The 19655-nt window shown below is 47.6% G+C and overlaps 1 protein-coding gene and 1 pseudogene across 2 annotated transcripts in view; one reads left to right on the top strand and one right to left on the bottom strand.

Moving 5' to 3' along the window:
• Positions 1 to 19655, top strand: part of AARS1 (alanyl-tRNA synthetase 1) — a 37209-nt gene that overhangs the window by 8666 nt on the left and 8888 nt on the right. For both annotated transcript variants that reach the window (NM_001605.3, XM_047433666.1), the window contains exons 3-12: positions 3687 to 3875; positions 4210 to 4355; positions 8869 to 9060; positions 10501 to 10645; positions 11078 to 11223; positions 12462 to 12570; positions 13032 to 13182; positions 15179 to 15303; positions 15739 to 15883; positions 18317 to 18495. In NM_001605.3, coding sequence (NP_001596.2) covers positions 3687 to 3875; positions 4210 to 4355; positions 8869 to 9060; positions 10501 to 10645; positions 11078 to 11223; positions 12462 to 12570; positions 13032 to 13182; positions 15179 to 15303; positions 15739 to 15883; positions 18317 to 18495 — 1527 coding nt within the window. The remainder of the gene's footprint in view (positions 1 to 3686; positions 3876 to 4209; positions 4356 to 8868; positions 9061 to 10500; positions 10646 to 11077; positions 11224 to 12461; positions 12571 to 13031; positions 13183 to 15178; positions 15304 to 15738; positions 15884 to 18316; positions 18496 to 19655) is intronic.
• RN7SL279P (RNA, 7SL, cytoplasmic 279, pseudogene) lies at positions 4489 to 4772 on the bottom strand (annotated as a pseudogene).

Raw genomic sequence — 19655 nt, 5'->3', positions numbered from 1 at the left:
AGGAAAGAAAAGAAAAAGACATTTGAAAGGTTTATCGTGAGAGAAAAGGGTTAACTCTTAAAATGATGAAAGCATGACAAGTTTATAAAGGAGTTTAAGAGGAGTTTGTCAGCATGTCTGTGACACTAAACAGTACTTCCCAGGCTGGTCGTGGCTGAAGGGGGTTCAGGTTAGATGGTGCTCTCAGCGCTTTCCTGTGATGGTTCTCTTGGAGCCCTGCTCCCCCGGGGCATCTGCAGCCCTTAGGATGCTTCTCACTCTGGGATGAGTTGACATTTTCTTTTCTCTTAGGTGTCTTTTCTGGCATGGAAAGTTAGAAACAATGGGGACATATTCTGCCTCTTATAATATTAACTATAAAATTATGAAACATGGGGCACAGTGCGCCTGTAATTACATCTACTCAGGAGGCTGAGACGGGAGGATCACTTGATCCTGGAATTACAAACCAGCTTGGGCAACACAGTGAGACTGGTCTCCCAAAAAAATTATGCTACTTGGGAGGCTGAGGCAGGAGAATCGCTGGAACCTGGGAGGCAGAGGTTGCAGTGAGCCGAGATCACGCCACTGCACTCCAGCCTGGGCAACAGAGTGAGACTCCGTCTCAAAAAAGAGAAAATTATGGGCCAGGCACAGTGGTTCATGCCTGTAATTCCAGCATTTTGGGAGGCCAAAGTAAGAGGATTGCTTGAGCCCAAGAGTTGGAGAGGAGCCTGGGCAACATAGGAAGACCCTGTCTGAAAGGAAAAGAGAAAAATTAAAGAAAAATTAAAGCAAAAGAAAAATTGAAAAATTAGCTGGTGGTGGCTCACACCTGTAGTTCCAGCCTCTTGGGAGGCTGAGGTGGGAGTATTGCTTGAGCCCAGGAGTTGAGGTGAGCCGTGATCGTGCCACTGGACTCCAGGCAGGGTGACAGAGCAAGACCCTGTCTCAAAATGGAAAAAAAAGAAAAATATTTTCAGTTATGTGTGAGTCCTATGCATATACCTAGAATTGGAGGCATTAATTTTAGGTGGTCTCATTCAACGGGATAGGCTTTTGGAACACTGGAAAGCTACTGTTTCTATTCAGACATACCTGGGTGCAAGCTTTGTCACCTTCCACATGAGCCGCCTGAACAAGAACCAGGGAGTACAGTGTTTGTAAACTTTTCTTTTTTTTTTTTTTTTTGTTTTTTTTTGAGACAGAGTTTTGCTCTTGTTGCCCAGGCTGGAGTGCAATGGTGAAATCTCGGCTCACTGCAGCCTACGCCTCCTGGATTCAAGCGATTCTCCTGCTTCACCCTCCCGAGTGGCTAGGATTATAGGTGTCTGCCACCACACCTGGCTAATTTTTATATTTTTAGTAGAGACAGGGTTTCGCCACGTTGGCCAGGCTGGTCTGGAACTCCTGGCCTCAGGTGATCCGCACATCTCGGCCTCCCAAAGTGCTGGGATTACAGGTGTGAGCCACCGCACCTGGCCCTTTTTTTTTTTTTTTTTTTTTTTTTTGAGATGAAGTTTTGCCCTGTCACCCCAGCTGGAATTCAGTGACGCAATCTCAGCTCACTGCAACCTCTGCCTCCCAGGTTCAAGCAGTTCTCCTGCCTCAGCCTCCCAAGTAGCTGGGACTACAGGCACCCCCCCACCATGCCTGTCTAATTTTTATATTTTTAGTAGAGATGGGGTTTCACCATCTTAGCCAGGCTGGTCTCGAACTCCTGACCTTGTGATCTGCCTGGTTCGGCCCCACAAAGTGCTGGGATTACAGGCGTGAGCCACCACGCCCGGCCTTGTAAACATTTTCTTATTGACAGTAGCTGTCAGCCTGCATGCAGCACTTACTGTGTGCCAGGCGCTGCTCTGTGTCCTTCGCGTACAATAACTCATTTACGCCGAACTCTGTTGCCATCCCTACTGAGGCACTGAGATCTCAAGTCAGTTGTCCATGCTCACATAGTCGGTAAGTGCCAGTGTGGACTTGAACCCAGATAGTCACTTCCTTAACCTTTGTGCCATATTGCCTCTTGATCAGCAAATACCTTGCCTTTTTTTTTTCCCCCAATTTGAAATGATATTAGGCACCCAGCTAGGTGCCGAAGATACAGAGATGAGTGAGAGAGTGTTTGCTTTTAAGGAGTTTGTGATCTAATACGGGACTGTCCAGTAGAATTTTCTGCAGTGACAGAAATGTTCTCCTCAACATGGCAGCCGTCAGTCGTGTGATTATTGAGCTAGTGTGACTGAGGAACAGAATTTCTAATTTTTTTCTTTCTCTCTTGCTTTTTTTTTTTTTTGGAGACAGAGTCTCACTCTGTAGCCCAGGCTGGAGTAGAGTGGCACGATCTTGGCTCACTGCAACCTCTGCCTCCCGGGTTCAAGTGATTCTCTTGCCTCAGCCTCCTGAGTAGCTGGAATTACAGGCGTGCACCACCATGGCTGGCTAATTTTGCATTTTTAGTGGAGACAGGGTTTCTCCATGTTGGTCAGGCTGGTCTCGAACTCCCGACCTCAGGTGATCCGCCCACCTCAGCCTCCTGAAGTGCTGGGGATTACAGGCATGAGCCACTGCGCCCAGCTGAGAATTTCTAATTTTTAAAAATATTAATTACTAATTATTTAATTTTAGTTTTTTATTTTTATAAAAATAGAGAAGGGGTCTCCTTATGTTTCCCAGGCTGGTCTTGAACTCTGGGCTCGAAGGAATCCTCCCTTCTTGGCCTCCCAAAGTGGTGGGATTACAGGTGTGAGCCACCTTGCCCAGCCTAATTTTAATTCAGTTTTACATGGTCACAAGTGTCTAATGGTAAGACCTGGCGCAGTCATTCATGCCTGTAATCCCAGCACTTTAGGAGGCTGAGGCGGGCAAATCACTTGGGGTTAGGTGTTCGAGACCAGCCTGGCCAACATGACGAAACCCTGTCTCTACTAAAAATACAAAAATTAGCCAGGTGTACCTGTACGTGCCTGTAATCTCAGCTACTTGGGAGGCTGAGGCAAGAGAATCGCTTGAACCCGGGAGATGGAGGTTGCAGTGACCTGAGATTGTGCCACTGTACTCCAGCCTGGGCGACAGTGACCCATCTCAAAAAAAAAAAAAAAAAGTGTCTAGTGGCTACCAAATTGGATAGCAGTGAATTGAACAGATCTAGTGGGAAAAATAAAACAAAGTTAACAAATAACAATGATACATCAAAGCATGACCTGATACATCCTCAGAGCAAGGCCGTCCCAGCTAGACGACTGATACATCCAATCATTCATCAGTGTGCTGATATTATTCCCTTAATATGTGTCAGTTTTTTTTTCTTCTTCCTCACATTTACTGCCAAGTGAACATACCAATTTTCAGGATAAGTTCTTCCAGAAAGATGGTATAAGCCCTGAACTTCAGAGACTGGTGAAGAAGCCCACGTTTTACCACATCAACCTGTGGCTGTTAGATCTGGCAGGCCTTTCCCCTCTGCAGGTGGTGTCACTCGTGGTGGTGGGGACTGTTAGGGAGCTAGGTTCAAGGAGAAACTGCTCCATGAGAGGCTACCCTCTGCTTTGGCTCCACCAGGCCACCTGTTCTGACAAGTGTCTATATTCCAGGCATGTTAATCATGAACTGCACAGTTAGTGTGTGGTCGTCTCTTCCTGCTAGTGTGTGGCCACCTGACATCACTTGCACCCTTTAAAAGTTGAACTGCTGTCCTTCTCTTTTAGTTTAAACCCATTTTCCTGAACACAATTGACCCATCTCACCCCATGGCAAAGCTGAGCAGAGCTGCCAATACCCAGAAGTGCATCCGGGCTGGGGGCAAACATAATGACCTGGACGATGTGGGCAAGGATGTCTATCATCACACCTTCTTCGAGATGCTGGGCTCTTGGTCTTTTGGAGATTACTTTAAGGTAAGTTCAGAGCAGAAGAACCACTAGGGTTTTGAGGAAAATGGTCTTTTCCACACTGGGAACTGGGTTCTAATTTTGCATGTTTTAAAATATGAAATATCATCTAGGTGATTCAGGAATGAATGGCATTTATTAATTCTAAGACTTCCTGGAAGTAGTACCTATAATTTGGTGATTTCAGTATATATTTGGATTTCTTACATAAACTGATCTTGAATTTGAATTTAGAGTGAACATGTTGTGATTTTGTATCTGTGTTCCTAGCATCTGGTCTCATACTAAATAGATTTTGGTTTGGCAATGTTCCATATCTTTCTCTCTGTTCTTTTTGTAGGAATTGGCATGTAAGATGGCTCTGGAACTCCTCACCCAAGAGTTTGGCATTCCCATTGAAAGACTTTATGTTACTTACTTTGGCGGGGATGAAGCAGCTGGCTTAGAAGCAGATCTGGAATGCAAACAGATCTGGCAAAATTTGGGGTAAGAATGCACATCACTTCTTGAGAGTATGGAGGAGTGAAATGACACTCAGTGCCAGAGTGGGGTTTTATGACCTGGAATATGTGGTCATTTTGCATCTCAGGGTTCCTTTTGAGATGCACATGGGGAGGAGTGAGGCTAGAGAATCGCTTGAACCCAGGAGGTGGAGGTTGCAGTGACCTGAGATCACTCCACTGCACTCCAGCCTGGGCGACAGAGTAATTATCTTTAGATGCATTAATATCTTTATTTATTTATTTATTTATTTTTTTGAGACAGAGCTTGCTCTGTCAGCTAGGCTGGAGTGCAGTGGCACGACCTCGGCTCACTGCAACCTCTGTCTCCTGGGCTTAAGCAATTCTCCTGCCTCAGCCTCCCAAGTAGCTGGGATTACAGGCGTGTGCCACCATGCCCAGCTAACTTTTGTATTTTTTTTAGTAGAGACGGGGTTTCATCATGTTGGCCAGGCTGGTCTCGAACTCCTGACCTCAGGTAATCCACCGTGCCCGGCCGCATTCATATGGTTTTTTTTTTTTTTTTTTTTTTTTTGAGATGGAGTCTTGCTCTGTCTCCCAGACTGGAGTGCAGTGGCGTGATCTCAGTTCACTGCAAACTCTGCTTCCTGGGTTCATGCCATTCTCCTTCCTCAGCCTCCTGAGTAGCTGGGACTGCAGATGCCTGCCACCACACCCAGCTAATATATATATATTTTTGTTGTTGTTGTTGTTGGAGTCTCGCTCTGTCACCCAGGCTGGAGTGCAGTGGCGCGATCTCAGCTCACTGCAAGCTCCGCCTCCCAGGTTCACGCCATTCTCCTGCCTCAGCCTCCCGAGTAGCTGGGACTACAGGCGCCCACCACCACGCCCGGCTAATTTTTTGTATTTTTTAGTAGAGACGGGGTTTCACCGTGTTAGCCAGGGTGGTCTCGATCTCCTGACCTCGTGATCCGCCTGCCTCGGCCTCCCAAAGTGCTGGGATTACAGGCGTGAGGAACCATGCCCGGCCAATTGTTTTTTTATATATATATATTTTTTAGTAGAGACTGGGTTTCACCGTGTTAGCCAGGATGATCTCGATCTCCTGACCTCGTGATCTGCCCGCCGTGGCCTCCCAAAGTGCTGGGATTACAGGCATGAGTCACCACGCCTGGCCCATATCTTTAGATCCATTCGTTGCTTCTTAATATGTTCAATAATTCTGTTGTTTATGTTTGTTTGTTTGTTTTTGAGACAGAGTCTCAGTCTGTCACCTAGGCTGGAGTGCACTGGTGCGATCTTGGCTCACTGTAACCTCTGCCTCCCGGGTTAAGGCGATTCTTCTGCCTCAGCCTCCTGAGTAGCTGGGACTACAGGTGCGCGCCACCACACCTGGCTAATTTTTGTATTTTTAGTAGAGATGGGATTTCACCATGTTAGCCAGGCTAGTCTCAAACTCCTGACTTCAGGTGATCCACCCGCTTTGGCCTCCCAAAGTGCTAGGATTACAGATGTGAGCCACTGTGCCCAGCCAATCATTCTGTTGTTGAAAGCCAAAACAAGTCTTTTTTTTTTTACTTTATATAGTTTTAAAAGTTACACGTGTGTTGTAAAAATTCAAACCTTATAGAAATGTAGAAAATAGAAAGTGGAAGTTCCCTCAATCATCATTAATAGTTTAATATCCCATATCTAGTCTTCCTGGCCTTGTTCATAGTTCTGTAACCTTGTGTGTATGTGTGTATCTTTTCCTTCCCCACCCCCACTCCACTCCCCCACCCCCGCCGAGATGGAATCTCGCTCTGTCGCCCAGAGCTGGAGTGCAATGACGCGATCTCAGCTCACTGCAACCTCTGCCTCCTGGGTTCAAGCAATTCTCCTGCCTCAGCCTCCCGAGTACCTGGGATTATAGGCACACACTACCACGCCTGGCTAATTTTTGTATTTTTAGTAGAGATGGGGTTTCATCATGTTGGCCAGGCTGGTCTTGAACTCCTGACCTGGTGATCCACACGCCTCGGCCTCCCAAAGTGCTGGGATTACAGGTGTGAGCCACCGTGCCCAGCCATGTCTGTCTTTTTCAACAGAGTTGTATTCTTCATATGAAACAGTTTGTTTCTTATGGAAATGAAATAGACTAGGAGAAAGGAAATTTTTTTTTCTTTTTTTGAGATGGAGTTTCGCTCTTGTTGCCCAGGCTGGAGTGTGATGGTGCGATCTTGGCTCACCGCAACCTCCGTCTCCCGGATTCAAGCAATTCTCCTGTCTCAGCCTCCCGAGTAGCTGGGATTACAGGCACGTGCCACCACACCCAGCTAATTTTTTTTTTTTTTTTCTTAGTAGAGACGGGTTTCTCCATGTTGGTCAGGCTGGTCTCGAACTCCTGACCTCAGGTGATTCACCCACCTCGGCCTCCCAAAGTGCTGGGATTACAGGCATGAGCCACCACACCAAGCTGGAAAAAGGAATTTTTTTGTTTCGTTTTTTTGAGACAGGGTCTCACTCTCACCCAGGCTGGAGTGCAGTGGCATAATCATAGTTTACTGCCTGAGCTCAGGCGATCGTCCCACCTCAGCCTCCCGAGTAACTAGGACTAGAAGCATTCGCCACCTGCCTGGCTAATTTTTTTTTTTTTTTTTTTTTTTTTGGAGACGGAGTCCCGCTCTGTCGCCCATGCTGGAGTGCAGTGGCGCGATCTTGGCTCACTGCAAGCTCCGCCTCCCGGGTTCATGCCATTCTCCTGCCTCAGCCTCCTGAGTAGCTGGGACTACAGGCGCCCACCACCACGCCCGGCTAATTTTTTGTATTTTTTAGTAGAGACGGGGTTTCACCGTGTCAGCCAGGATGGTCTCGATCTCATGACCTCATGATCGGCCTGCCTTGGCCTCCCAAAGTGCTGGGATTACAGGCGTGAGCCACTGCGCCCGGCCCTGTCTGGCTAATTTTTGTATTTTTTGTAGGGACAGGGTTTTGCTATGTTGCCCAGGCTGATCTTGAACTCCTGAGCTCAAGCGATCTACCTGCCTTGACCTTTCAAATTGCTGGGATTACAGATATGAGCCACTGTGCCTAGCCAGTTTTTTTGGCATAATGTAATTCTAAAGTATAATCACATAGTATAAAAGCTAAGACAGTAGGTGAGCTATATGTGTTCTGTGCTGTGAACTTGGTCGAATTTGTGAAGTGCTGCATCAAGGAGAATCTGAACATGGGGTGTGTGCCCTCTGTAGACAGCTGGGCTGTCCATGATGTGTTTGCCTCATTTTCTTGTTCCTTTTACTTAATTCTTTCATCCTTTAGTGCATAGCTTTTTACTATACTTGGAAACAGGGCTGCTTCTCTTTTTTTAATTACTTTTACTCTAGATATATTATTCCAACCCAACTTCCCCTTTTACTTGATCTAAAACTCCTATTCGGTTGACTCTGTAGTCTAAGTGTAGTTGGAATTTTGGGTAGTGACACCTGTAAAAATTAAATATTAATCTTGACGCTGGTTTTTAAAATCCTCTTTTACCTTGACTTCATGTACTGTATATCTACACTTTAAAAGTGTAGCTTTTAAAAGATAAGCAAGCACAATCTTTTGTGTGTGTGTGTGTGTGTGTGTGTGTGTGTGTGTCACCCAGGCTGGAGTGCAGTGGCATGATCACAGCTCACTGCAGCCTCAACTTCCTGGGCTCAAGTGATCCTCTCCCGAGTAGCTGGGACTACAGGTATGCATCACCCCCCCAGCTAATTTTTTTTTGTATTTTTTAGAGAGTCGGGGTTTCGCAATGTTGCCCAGGCTGGTCTCGAACTCCTGAGCTCAAGCAATGCGCGTGGCCAGCGTTTTCATTATTATGTGTTCCTTTCTAGGCCTTACTCATGTCCTTGTGTATTTTCATTGAGTTTCGAGCATATCATGTGTATATTTTGTACTGTCTTCTATTGTAGGCACTCTTGAGAAGAGTCATGTGCTGTTTCTTTAGCGGGTTTTTTTTTTTTTTTTTTTTTTTTTTTTTTGAGATGGAGTTTTGCTCTCGTTGCCCAGGCTGGAGTGCAATGGCGCGATCCCGGCTCATCGCAGCCTCTGCCTCCTGGGTTCTAGTGATTCTCCTGCCTCAGCCTCCCGAGTAGCTGGGATTACAGGCATGCGCCACCACACCCAGCTAATTTTTTGTATTTTTAGTAGAGACAAGGTTTCTCCATGTTGATGAGGCTGGTCTCAAACTCCCAACCTCAGGTGATCCGCCCGCCTCGGCCTCCCAAAATGCTGGGATTACAGGCATGAGCCACCACGCCCAGCTTCTTTAGCAGGTTTAATGTGCAGGCTTAGCATTAGTACTTGCTGAAGGTTGGAACTTCTTCATTAAAAATTCTAAGAATTTTTTTTTTTTCTTTTTTGAGACAGAGTCTCGCTCTGTTGTCTAGGCTGGAGTGCAGTAACATGAGCCACTGTGCCCGGCCAATCCTAAGAATTTCTTTTGCGGTGGTTGCAAGTCTGGGCAGAACTCTTGTCAGGGGCTGTAACTGGACTTATCTTTACTCCTTTGTCAGGCTGGATGACACCAAAATCCTCCCAGGCAACATGAAGGATAACTTCTGGGAGATGGGTGACACGGGCCCCTGTGGTCCTTGCAGTGAGATCCACTACGACCGGATTGGTGGTCGGGACGCCGCACATCTTGTCAACCAGGACGACCCTAATGTGCTGGAGATCTGGAACCTTGTGTTCATCCAGTATAACAGGTAGCCTTGGGTTCCTACTCCATTCCTTTCCTTGAGCTGAGCAGGGGAGGAGGAACTCGGAGCTGTGTAGCTCTCTTCTCAGCTAAAAGCTCATTTCTTTATTTCTCAGATTACCTGTCTGATCTCTGGAACAAGGATGGGCCTATTCTTTCATGAACTAAACCTTATCGCACATAATAGCTTCTTGCGAGCTATTCCTATAATGTCATGCTTGCTGTACTTCGGGCTGCTGTTTTTTTTTTTTGTTTTTTTGAGACAGAGTTTTCCTCTTGTTACCCAGGCTGGAGTGCAATGGTGTGATCTTGGCTTACTGCAACATCTGTGCCCTGGGTTCAAGCGATTCTCCTGCCTCAGCCTTCCGAGTAGCTGGGATTACAGGCATGTGCCACCACGCCCGGCTAATTTTGTATTTTTAGTGGAGACGGGGTTTCTCCATGTTGGTCAGGCTGGTCTCGAACTCCCAACCTCAGGTGATCCGCCCGCCTCAGCCTCCCAAAGTGCTGGGATTATAGGTGTGAGCCACCGTGCCAGAACTGGACTGCTGTTTTAAAGCCTATTTCCTTGAAGCTTGCCTCAGTTTTGTTTTTGTTTTTGTTTTTGTTTTTGGAGATGGAGTCTTGCTCTGTCACCCAGGCTGGAGTGCAGTGGCAAGATCTCAGCCCACTGCAACCTTTGCCTGCTGGGTTCAAGCGATTCTCCTGCCTCAGCCTGCTGAGTTCTCCTGCCTCAGCCTCCTGAGTAGCTAGGGTTACAGGTGCATGCCACCATGCCAGGCTAATTTTTAAAATATTTTTGGCAGGGATGGGGTTTCATCATGTTGGCCAGGCTGGTCTCGAACTCCTGACCTCAAGTGATTCCCCCGCCTCGGCCTCCCAAAATGCTGGTATTACAGGCGTGAGCCACCATGCCCAGTCTTTTTCTTTTCTTTTTTTTTTTTTTTTTTGAGATGGAGTTTTGCTCTTGTTGCCCAGGCTGTAGTGCAATGGTGAAATCTCAGCTCACCACAACCTCCGCCTCCTGGGTTCAAGCGATTCTCCTGCTTCAGCCTCCCGAGTAGCTGGGATTACAGGCATGTGCCACCATGCTCGGCTAATTTTGTATTTTTAGTAGAGATGGGGTTTCTTCATGTTGAGCAGGCTGGTCTCGAGCTCCTGACCTCAGATGGTCCACCACCTCGGCCTCCCAAAGTGCTGGGATTACAGGCATGAGCCACTGCGCCTGGCCTTTCCTCACTCTTAAATGAACCCCAGAGTTCATTTAAGAATGAACTCTTCCTTTCTCCTTCCTTTCTCCCTCCACTTCCCTCTTCCCACCAAACCGGGCAAATGGCAGATGGTCACAGCCTGCAAACTGTTCTGTAAATGAATTTTAACCAGCAGGGACTGGAGAGGTGGCAGCTTGAGTCTCTGCTTCAACCTCCTCTTCTTCTGGATCATACAGGGAAGCTGATGGCATTCTGAAACCTCTTCCCAAGAAAAGCATTGACACAGGGATGGGCCTGGAACGACTGGTATCTGTGCTGCAGAATAAGATGTCCAACTATGACACTGACCTTTTTGTCCCTTACTTTGAAGCCATTCAGAAGGTACTGGTGCTATTGCAAACATTGTAAACTTCTGTGGAGTTTTCCAGGCTGTACTCTTAACAGTGCTGTCAAAGAAAAAATGACCATATGCTTTGCCAGCCAAGGGTACCCATTTCCATCTGCCTACTTCATTGTTAATAATGTGAGGCTCCACAAATTGGTGTTCTAAATGTCTTAAGAACCTAATTAAATAGCTGACTACAAAAAAAAAATAATAATGTGAGGCTCTAGACCTGAGACAGTATAATTTTTGAGTGTAGGGGCTGGCTGGAGTCTCTCTACTTCCCCAATGTCACGTTCTTGGGGTTATAGGATCTGGCAAGACCGGCATCCTTTCTGCTAATGCTCCTCAATCCTCCAGGAACCTCCTTGGGCAAGGTAGCGCCAGAAAGTCTGCTTCCTAAAGGGCTGCCTCCTGATTCTTATCTATAGGGCACAGGTGCCCGACCATACACTGGGAAAGTTGGTGCTGAGGATGCCGATGGGATTGACATGGCCTACCGGGTGCTGGCTGACCACGCTCGGACCATCACTGTGGCACTGGCTGATGGTGGCCGGCCTGACAACACAGGGCGTGGGTAAGTATGCTGCACACTGGGTGGTGTTTGGAGCGGCACCACGTGTGCTATGTGTGACTCTTTATGAAACTTTTCTTTGTGTGTGAGATTGAGTGTTGCTCTGTTGCCCAGGCTGGAGTACAATGGCGTGATCTTGCCTCACTGCAACCTCTGCCTGCTGGGTTCAAGTGATTCTGCCTCAGCCTCCCACGTAGCTGGGATTATAGGTGCACACCACCACGCCTGGCTAATTTTTGTACTTTTAGTAGAGACGGTTGTTTTTTTTTTTTTTTTTTTTTTTTTTTTTTTTTTTTTTCTGAGACAGAATTTTGCTTTTGTTGCCCGGGCTAGAGTGCAATGGCCCGATCTTGGCTCACCGCAACCTCCACCTCCTGAGTTCAAGCAATTCTTTTCCCTCAGCCTCCCGAATAGATGGGATTACAGGCATGAGCCACCATGCCTAGTTTTGTATTTTTAGTAAAGATGGGGTTCCTTCCATGTTGGTCAGGCTGGTCTCAAACTCCCAACCTCAGGTGATCCGCCCGCCTCGGCCTCCCACAGTGCTGGGATTACAGGCGTGAGCCACCGTGCCCGGCCAGAGGTGGGGTTTTGCCATGTTGGCCAGGCTGGTCTCGAACTCCTGACCTCAGATGATCCACCTGCTACGACCTCCCAAAGTGATGGGATTACAGGTGTGAGCCACCATGCCCGGCCTCTTTATGAAACTTAAAGCCATCTTTCGTTATTGTTTCCTTGTCTTGGGCAGGTGGAAGAATCCCCCACCCCTTTTTTAAGGGATGAAGGGAGTTTCAGCTAGTGTCACAGAGTTGCCACTATATTAAATCTCTGCTGCTGAGTACAGATGATAAGGATTGTATTCAAAGTTGCCTGATAGGAGATTGGCAGGGGCAGGGTGAGGGTAGGTATTGACCAGCCCTGGGAATCTCTCTTACTGACAGGCAGGACCTGGGATCACAGGCATCAAGTACACATCTGGTCTGTCCATCTTTCCTCCCTCTATGGGTAACTGAATGTGAAAGGAAAACAAACCAGCGTTTACCCTAGGGAAGCCTTGACGGGTATTTGTGGGTATGTTACTGAGTCTTGTGCTAAAATTAATGACCTTGGGGAATGCGAAAGAAGCAGGCTTAGGATAAAAGAAAGTTCCTGAAAGAGGTGTTGCTTTGGGTAGGATTCCAAGGGACTCAAGACAAAACCCTCAGCTGGGAACGTTGGGGACTAGTTTTTGCCTCTTACAGATATGTGTTGAGACGGATTCTCCGCCGAGCTGTCCGATACGCCCATGAAAAGCTCAATGCCAGCAGGGGCTTCTTTGCTACGTTAGTGGATGTTGTCGTCCAGTCCCTGGTAGGTTTATTTCTCTGCTTACCCTTCTGTGCTAAAGCAGTCCGTTAAGAGGGATGGAGTGGGAGAGGGCATACTGTTAAGCAGCTTTTTGTTGCTGTTTTTTGAGACGGAGTCTCACTCTGTCACCCACGCTGGAGTGCAATAGAGTGATCTTGGCTCACTGCAACCTCTGTCTCCTGGGTTCAAGCGATTCTCCTGTCTCAGCCTTCCGAATAGCTGGGATTACAGGTGCACACCGCCAAGCCTGGCTAATCTTTTCTGTTTTAGTAGAGACAGGGTTTCACCGTGTTGCCCAGGCTGGTCTTGAACTCCTGAGCTCAGGCAATCCACCTGCCTCGGCTTCCCAAAGTGGTAGGATTACAGGCGTGAGCCACTGCACCCAGCTAAGGAGCTTTTTTAAGACGGGGCAGGGAACAGTCTCTGGCTTCATCCAGCCCCTCATCTTGCTTCCCCTTTGTCAGGGAGATGCATTTCCTGAGCTGAAGAAGGACCCAGACATGGTGAAGGACATCATTAATGAAGAAGAGGTGCAGTTTCTCAAGACTCTCAGCAGAGGGCGTCGCATCCTGGACAGGAAAATTCAGAGCCTGGGAGACAGCAAGACCATTCCCGGTAGGTACCAGTTTTTGCCCTTCTCCATCCTGGCCGTTTGATCTTTCTGGGAAAGACAAGCCCTTTCTGACAGACTGACTGTGGGCTCTCATGTCTCTGAGGCTGAACATAGCTTGATTGAATTGCTTTTGGTGCAAACTGGAATTTATAGTAAAATGGTAAAAGTAATGCATCATTGTGGCCAAAGTATTCAAACAATACAGAATACAAAAGTGTTCAGAAAATGAAAATCCTCTTTTCCACACTCATTTCTCAGAGGGAACAACTCTTAATGGTTTGGTGTAGAACTCTTCAGGATTCTTCTCTGTTTGCATGCAAATACATGTAGATATTTGTGTGTGTGTATTTTTCAAGCAAAAGTGGGAATATTTGGTATGTACTGTTTTGCAATTTGGGGAAAATTAATTCCAAAGATTTTCTCCCCAGTTTCCAAAGATTCTTTATTGAAGTATAATGAACAAGGGAAAAGCTTGATGAATTTTCACAAATTGAACACACATTCAGATCAAGAAATAGATTTGTCAGCTGGGTGTGGTGGCTCACACCTGTAATCCTAGCACTTTGGGATGCCGAGGCGGGCGGATCACGAGGTCATGAGTTCAAGACCAGCCTGCCCAACATGGCAAAACCCCGTCTCTACTAAAAATACAAAAAATTAGCTGGGTGTGGTGGCATGCGCCTGTAATCCCAGCTACTTGGGAGGCTGAGACAGGAGAATTGCTTGAACCGGGGAGGCGGAGGTTGCATTGAGCCAAAATCATGCCACTGCACTCCAGCCTGGGCAACAAGAGCGAAACACCATCTCAAAAAGAAAAAGAAAAAGAAATAGATGTGTAAGGCTGGGCACAGTGGCTCACACCTTTAATCCCATCACTTTGGGAGGCTGAGGCAGGCAGATCACCTGAGGTCAGGAATTTGAGACCAGCCTGGCCAACATGGTAAAACCCCATCTCTACTAAAAATGCAAAAATTAGCCATGCATGATGGCGGGCACCCATAATCCCAGCTACTCGGGAGACTGAAGCAGGAGAATCGCTTGAATCCTGGAGCTGGAGAGTGCAATGAGCCGAGATCACACCAGTACACTCCAGCCTGGGCAACAGAGTGAGACTCTCAAAAAAAAAGAAATAGAAAATTGTCCAGGTGAGGTTGTTTTTGTTTTTGAGATGGAGTCTCACTCTGTTGCCCAGGCTGGAGTGCAGTGGTGTGATCTCAGCTCACTGCAAGCTCCGCCTCCCAGGGTCATGCCATTCTCCTGCCTCAGCCTCTCTAGTAGCTGGGACTACAGGTGTCCGCCACCGCGCCTGGCAATTTTTTTATTTATTTTTTTTTATTTTTTATTTTTGAGACAGAGTCTTGCTCTGTCGCCCAGGCTGGAGTGCAGTGGCGCTATCTCGGCTCACTGCAAGCTCCACCTCCCGGGTTCACGCCATTCTCCTGCCTCAGCCTCCCGAGTAGCTGGGACTACAGGCGCCCGCCACCATGCCCGGCTAATTTTTTTGTATTTTTAGTAGAGACAGGGTTTCACCGTATTGGCCAAGATGGTCTCGATCTCCTGACCTCCTGATCCGCCCGCCTCGGCCTCCCAAAGTGCTGGGATTACAGGCGTGAGCCACAGCGCCTGGCCAAATTTTTTGTATTTTTCCTAGAGACGGGGTTTCACCATGTTAGTCAGGATGGTCTCAATCTCCTGACCTCATGATCCGCCCGCCTCGGCCTCTCAAAGTGCTGGGATTACAGGCGCGAGCCACGGTGCCCAGCCCAGGTGAGGTTTAAAAAACAAAACAAAACAAAACAGAATTGTATCAGGACATCCATTGTGCTTCCCCCAGGTTAACTGAAAAAGATGTGCTGGATTTTCTGATGGGCACACAGGGCCGATACTGATAGCCTTGTGTCTTTAATTCCTTCTGCCAGTCCCAGCATCCTTTTGGAGGGCTTGGCATGGAAAAGGGGCTGTCTGTTTTTTTTGACACACCTCCTTTGTGCTGTGTAGGAGACACTGCTTGGCTCCTCTATGACACCTATGGGTTTCCAGTGGATCTGACTGGACTGATTGCTGAAGAGAAGGGCCTGGTGGTAGACATGGATGGCTTTGAAGAGGAGAGGAAACTGGCCCAGGTAAAGAACTTGGAGAGTGAACAGGAAACCCAACACCTTCCAACCCAGCACCACTTGGCTGCAGACTGAGCATGAGTTTCCTTCCATTAAAGTCTTTGAAGTGCTTTTTCCCCTAGATCAGTGGTTCTCAAGTGGGGGCGAGTCTGCCTTCCAGGGAGTAATTGGCGATAATGTCTGAAGACATTTTTGATTTTCACAACTAGGGGCAGATCCTGCTGTCACGTACTTGGTAGAGGCCAGGGTGCCCCTCAGCATCCCACACTGCAAGAGAAGTTTCCACAACAGAGAATGATCTGGCCCCAAATGTCAGTAGTGCCAGGATTGAAAAACCCTGTTCTGGCAGTTTATGCTGGGCATAGTTTAGCAAGTTCCAGTCCTTTGGAGTCCCTTTTCTCCTACTTTACGGTAACTTATGCTTGTTTCTCTTGCTGACAGCTGAAATCACAGGGCAAGGGAGCTGGTGGGGAAGACCTCATTATGCTGGACATTTACGCTATCGAAGAGCTCCGGGCACGGGGTCTGGAGGTCACAGATGATTCCCCAAAGTACAATTACCATTTGGACTCCAGTGGTAGCTATGGTATGTTGCTGTGCTCCTTCCACATCTGAGCATTCTGCCCCGTATCTGGGGGGTATTTGAAAGATTGTTTCTCAAGATTAGCTCTCCAGCAGACTGCTGACAGCCTCTCCTGGAGTGCCGTACAGTCACGCTATGCACTTTTATACACATAGGCACCCTTGGCTGGAGGTTTTCTTAACTCTATTTTGAAATAATTATTGTCACAGGAAGTTGTAAAAAAAAAAAATTTGTAGGAAGGGTCTCACACCCTTTTATCCAGTTTCCCCTAATTGTAACATCATGCAGGAAACTGGGCAATTGACATTGATACAATCCACAGTGACTATCAGAATGCTATTAGGGGCCTGGCGCTGTGCCTCACACCTGTAATCCCAACACTTTGGGAGGCCGGGGCAGGTGGATCACCTAAGGTCAGGAGTTTGAGACCAGCCTGACCAACATGATGAAACCCCATCTCTACTAAAAATACGGAAATTAGCCGGGCGTGGTGGCGTGCCCCTGTAATCCCAGCTACTCGGGAGGCTGAGGCAGGAGAATCGCCTGAACCTGGGAGGCAGAGGTTGCAGTGAGCCAAGATCATGCCATTGCACTCCAGCCTGGACAACAAGAGTGAAATTCCGTCTCGGGGAAAAAGAAAAAGAATGCTATTAGGATTCTATTATCCTAATGCTGTTAGAATGCTATTATCCTAATAGCATTCTTTTTTTTTTCTGAGATGGAATCTCCCTCTGTTGCCCAGGCTGGAGTGCAATAGTGTGATCTCGGCTCACTGCAACCTCCACCTCCTGGGTTCAAGCGATTCTCCGGCCTCAGCCTCCCAAGTAGCTGGGATTACAGCCACGCACCACCACACCCGGCTGATTTTTGTGTTTTTAGTAGAGACAGGGTTTCACCATGTTTGCCAGGCAGGTCTCAAACTCCTGACCTCATGATCTGCCTGCCTTGGCCTCCCAAAGTGCTGGGATTACAGGCGTAAGCCATCTCGCCCGACCGGATAATAGTATTCTAAAGTTAAGAAACAAAGCCAGTGCAATGACTCATGCCTGTAATCCCAGCACTTCGGGATGCCAGGGTGGGCTGATCAGTTGAGCTCTGGTGTTTGAGACCAGTCTGGGCAACATGGCGAAACCCTGTCTCTACCAGAAATACAAAAATTAGCTAGGTGTGGTGGCGCATGCCTGTAGTCCCAGCTATTTGTGGGGCTGAGGCAGGAGGATCACTTGAGCCTGGGAGATTGAGAGGCTGCAGTCAGCCATATTTGTGCCACTGCACTCCAGCCTGGGCTACAGAGTGAGACCCTGTCTCAAAAAAAACATAAAAATAAATTGGCAATACATGTTTTTGCAGCTTTTTTGCCCTGGTAGAGAACAATCTTTTTTTTTTTTTTGAGATGGAGTTTCGCTCTGTCACCCAGGCTGGAGTGCAGTGGCGCATTCTCGGCTCACTGCAACTTCTGCCTCCCAGCTTGAAGTGATTCTCCTGCCTCAGCCTCCCAATTAACTGGGATTACAGGCATGTGCCACCACACCTGGCTAATTTTTGTATTGTAGTGGACACGGGGTTTCACCGTGTTGGCCAGGCTGGTCTCAAACTGCTGAGCTCAGGTTATCCACCCGTCTCAGCCTCACAAAGTGCCAGGATGACAGGTGTGAGCCACCGTGCCCGGCTGAGAACAATCTTACACCTAAATCTATTCAAGCAAGCCTACAAAATGAGTACATTCTTTGTGAGTTGACCTTGGACTAGGGAATTTATTACTACTCTTAAAGATCTACTAATCTGATGCACCAAGTTTCTGTTCAGTAGCTCAGAGTTAGGGTAACCCATTGTCCCAGTTTTAACACTGAAGCCTGCATCCCAGGAAACCCCTCAGTCCTAAAAATTGGGACAGTTGGTCACCCGACAGAGTGTTGCATTCTTTGATGGAAAGCCAGCATGCGAAGCCCTTTGTTGTTGTTGTTTTTTTTTTTTTTTTTTTTTTTTTTTTTTTGAGACCGAGTCTTGCTTTGTCACCCAGGCTGGAGTGGAGTGGCACAATCTCGGCTCACTGCAAGCTCCGCCTCCTGGGTTCACGCCATTCTTCTGCCTCAGCCTCCTGAGTAGCTGGGACTACAGGTGCCCGCCACCACACCCGGCTAATGTTTTGTATTTTTGGTAGAGACAGGGTTTCAGCGTGTTAGCCAGGATGGTCTCGATCTCTTGACCCCGTGATCCGCCTGCCTCGACCTCCCAAAGTGCTGGGATTATAGGGGGAGCCACCGCGCCCGGCCGCGAAGCCCTTTCATATTGTCTAATGAGTTTGCTTCCAAAATACAATTGGACAATTAGGAGCTAAGAAGAGTTTGCGAAAGAGAATCCAGCAAAAGTCAGCCAAGAAGGAGTGAAAAGGTCATTGACCCCACTGTCCCCTTTCTATGCATTTCCCTTGAGCAGTATTTGAGAACACAGTGGCTACGGTGATGGCTCTGCGCAGGGAGAAGATGTTCGTGGAAGAGGTGTCCACAGGCCAGGAGTGTGGAGTGGTGCTGGACAAGACCTGTTTCTATGCTGAGCAAGGAGGCCAGATCTATGACGAAGGCTACCTGGTGAAGGTGGATGACAGCAGTGAAGATGTGAGCCAACAGTTCTTCCTTGTTAGCCGAGGAGGGCCAGGCGTGGAGCCGGGGAGCTGCTTTTGCCCCACAGTGCTCCAGGCCTTGGGAGCAGACCTGACACACCTTTGGGTTGGGTTCCATGGTATTTCTGAAGCCGAGGGAGCTGTTGCTTGTACCTGTTGCTTTCCTGGCCATCGGGTACCCTCGTAGGAGTATTTTTGCAGCCAGGGTACAAGTTTCCTACAAGCTTTGCACATTAAAAAGGAGAGGCAGCTCTCTGAAGGGGAGATGTCCTTGTAGAAAACTCAGCCTCGAGCTCTGCCGCTGCTGAATGAGTTACTTTGTCTCCCTAGGCTTCAGGTTCCTTATGGAGGCTTTTAGATACTCAAAGATGCGGCTGGGTGTGGTGGCTCATGACTATAATCCTAGCACTTTGGGAGGCCAAGGCGGGTGGATCGCCTGAGGTCAGGAGTTCAAGACCAGCCTGGCCAACATGGTGAAACCCTGTCTCTACTGACATACAAAAATTAGCCAGGTATGGTGGTGGATGCCTGTAATCCCACCTGCTCGGGAAGCTGAGAGGGGAGAATCGCTTGAACCCAGGAGAGGGTGGTTGCAGTGAGCCGAGATTGCGCCACTGCACTCCAGCTTGGGTGGCTGAGCGAGACTCTGTCTCAAAAAAAAAAAAAAAATTCTAAGATGCTCCTTAATATTGGTTATGTCTGTGTGTGTGCACAAATATATTTAATTTTTTTTTTTTTTTTTTGAGATGGAGTCTCGCTCTGTAGCCAAGGCTGGAGTGCAGTGGCATGATCTTGGCTCACTGTAACCTCTGCCTTCCGGGTTCAAGCGATTCTCCTGCCTCTGCCTCCTGAGTAGGTGGAATTATAGGCACTTGCCTTCACGCCTGGCTAATTTTTGTATTTTTTTAGTAGAGATGGGATTTCACCATGTTGGCCAAGCTGGTCTCGAACTCCTGGCCTCAGGTGATCTACTCACCTGAGCCTCCCAAAGTGCTGGGATTACAGTCATGAGCCACTGCACCTGGCCTATTTAATCATATTTAATGATATTAAGGGAGTATGTGTGTGTGTGCAATTTACATATGTAAAGAGAAGTTATATACACGAGTTTATATTGAAAATATAAGAAAATTTGTATGTTTTTAAGGATTTATT

Source organism: Homo sapiens, chromosome 16 (assembly GCF_000001405.40).
Source record: "Homo sapiens chromosome 16, GRCh38.p14 Primary Assembly".
Classification (NCBI taxonomy): domain Eukaryota; kingdom Metazoa; phylum Chordata; class Mammalia; order Primates; family Hominidae; genus Homo; species Homo sapiens.
This window is presented reverse-complemented; position numbering and strand designations above follow the sequence as displayed.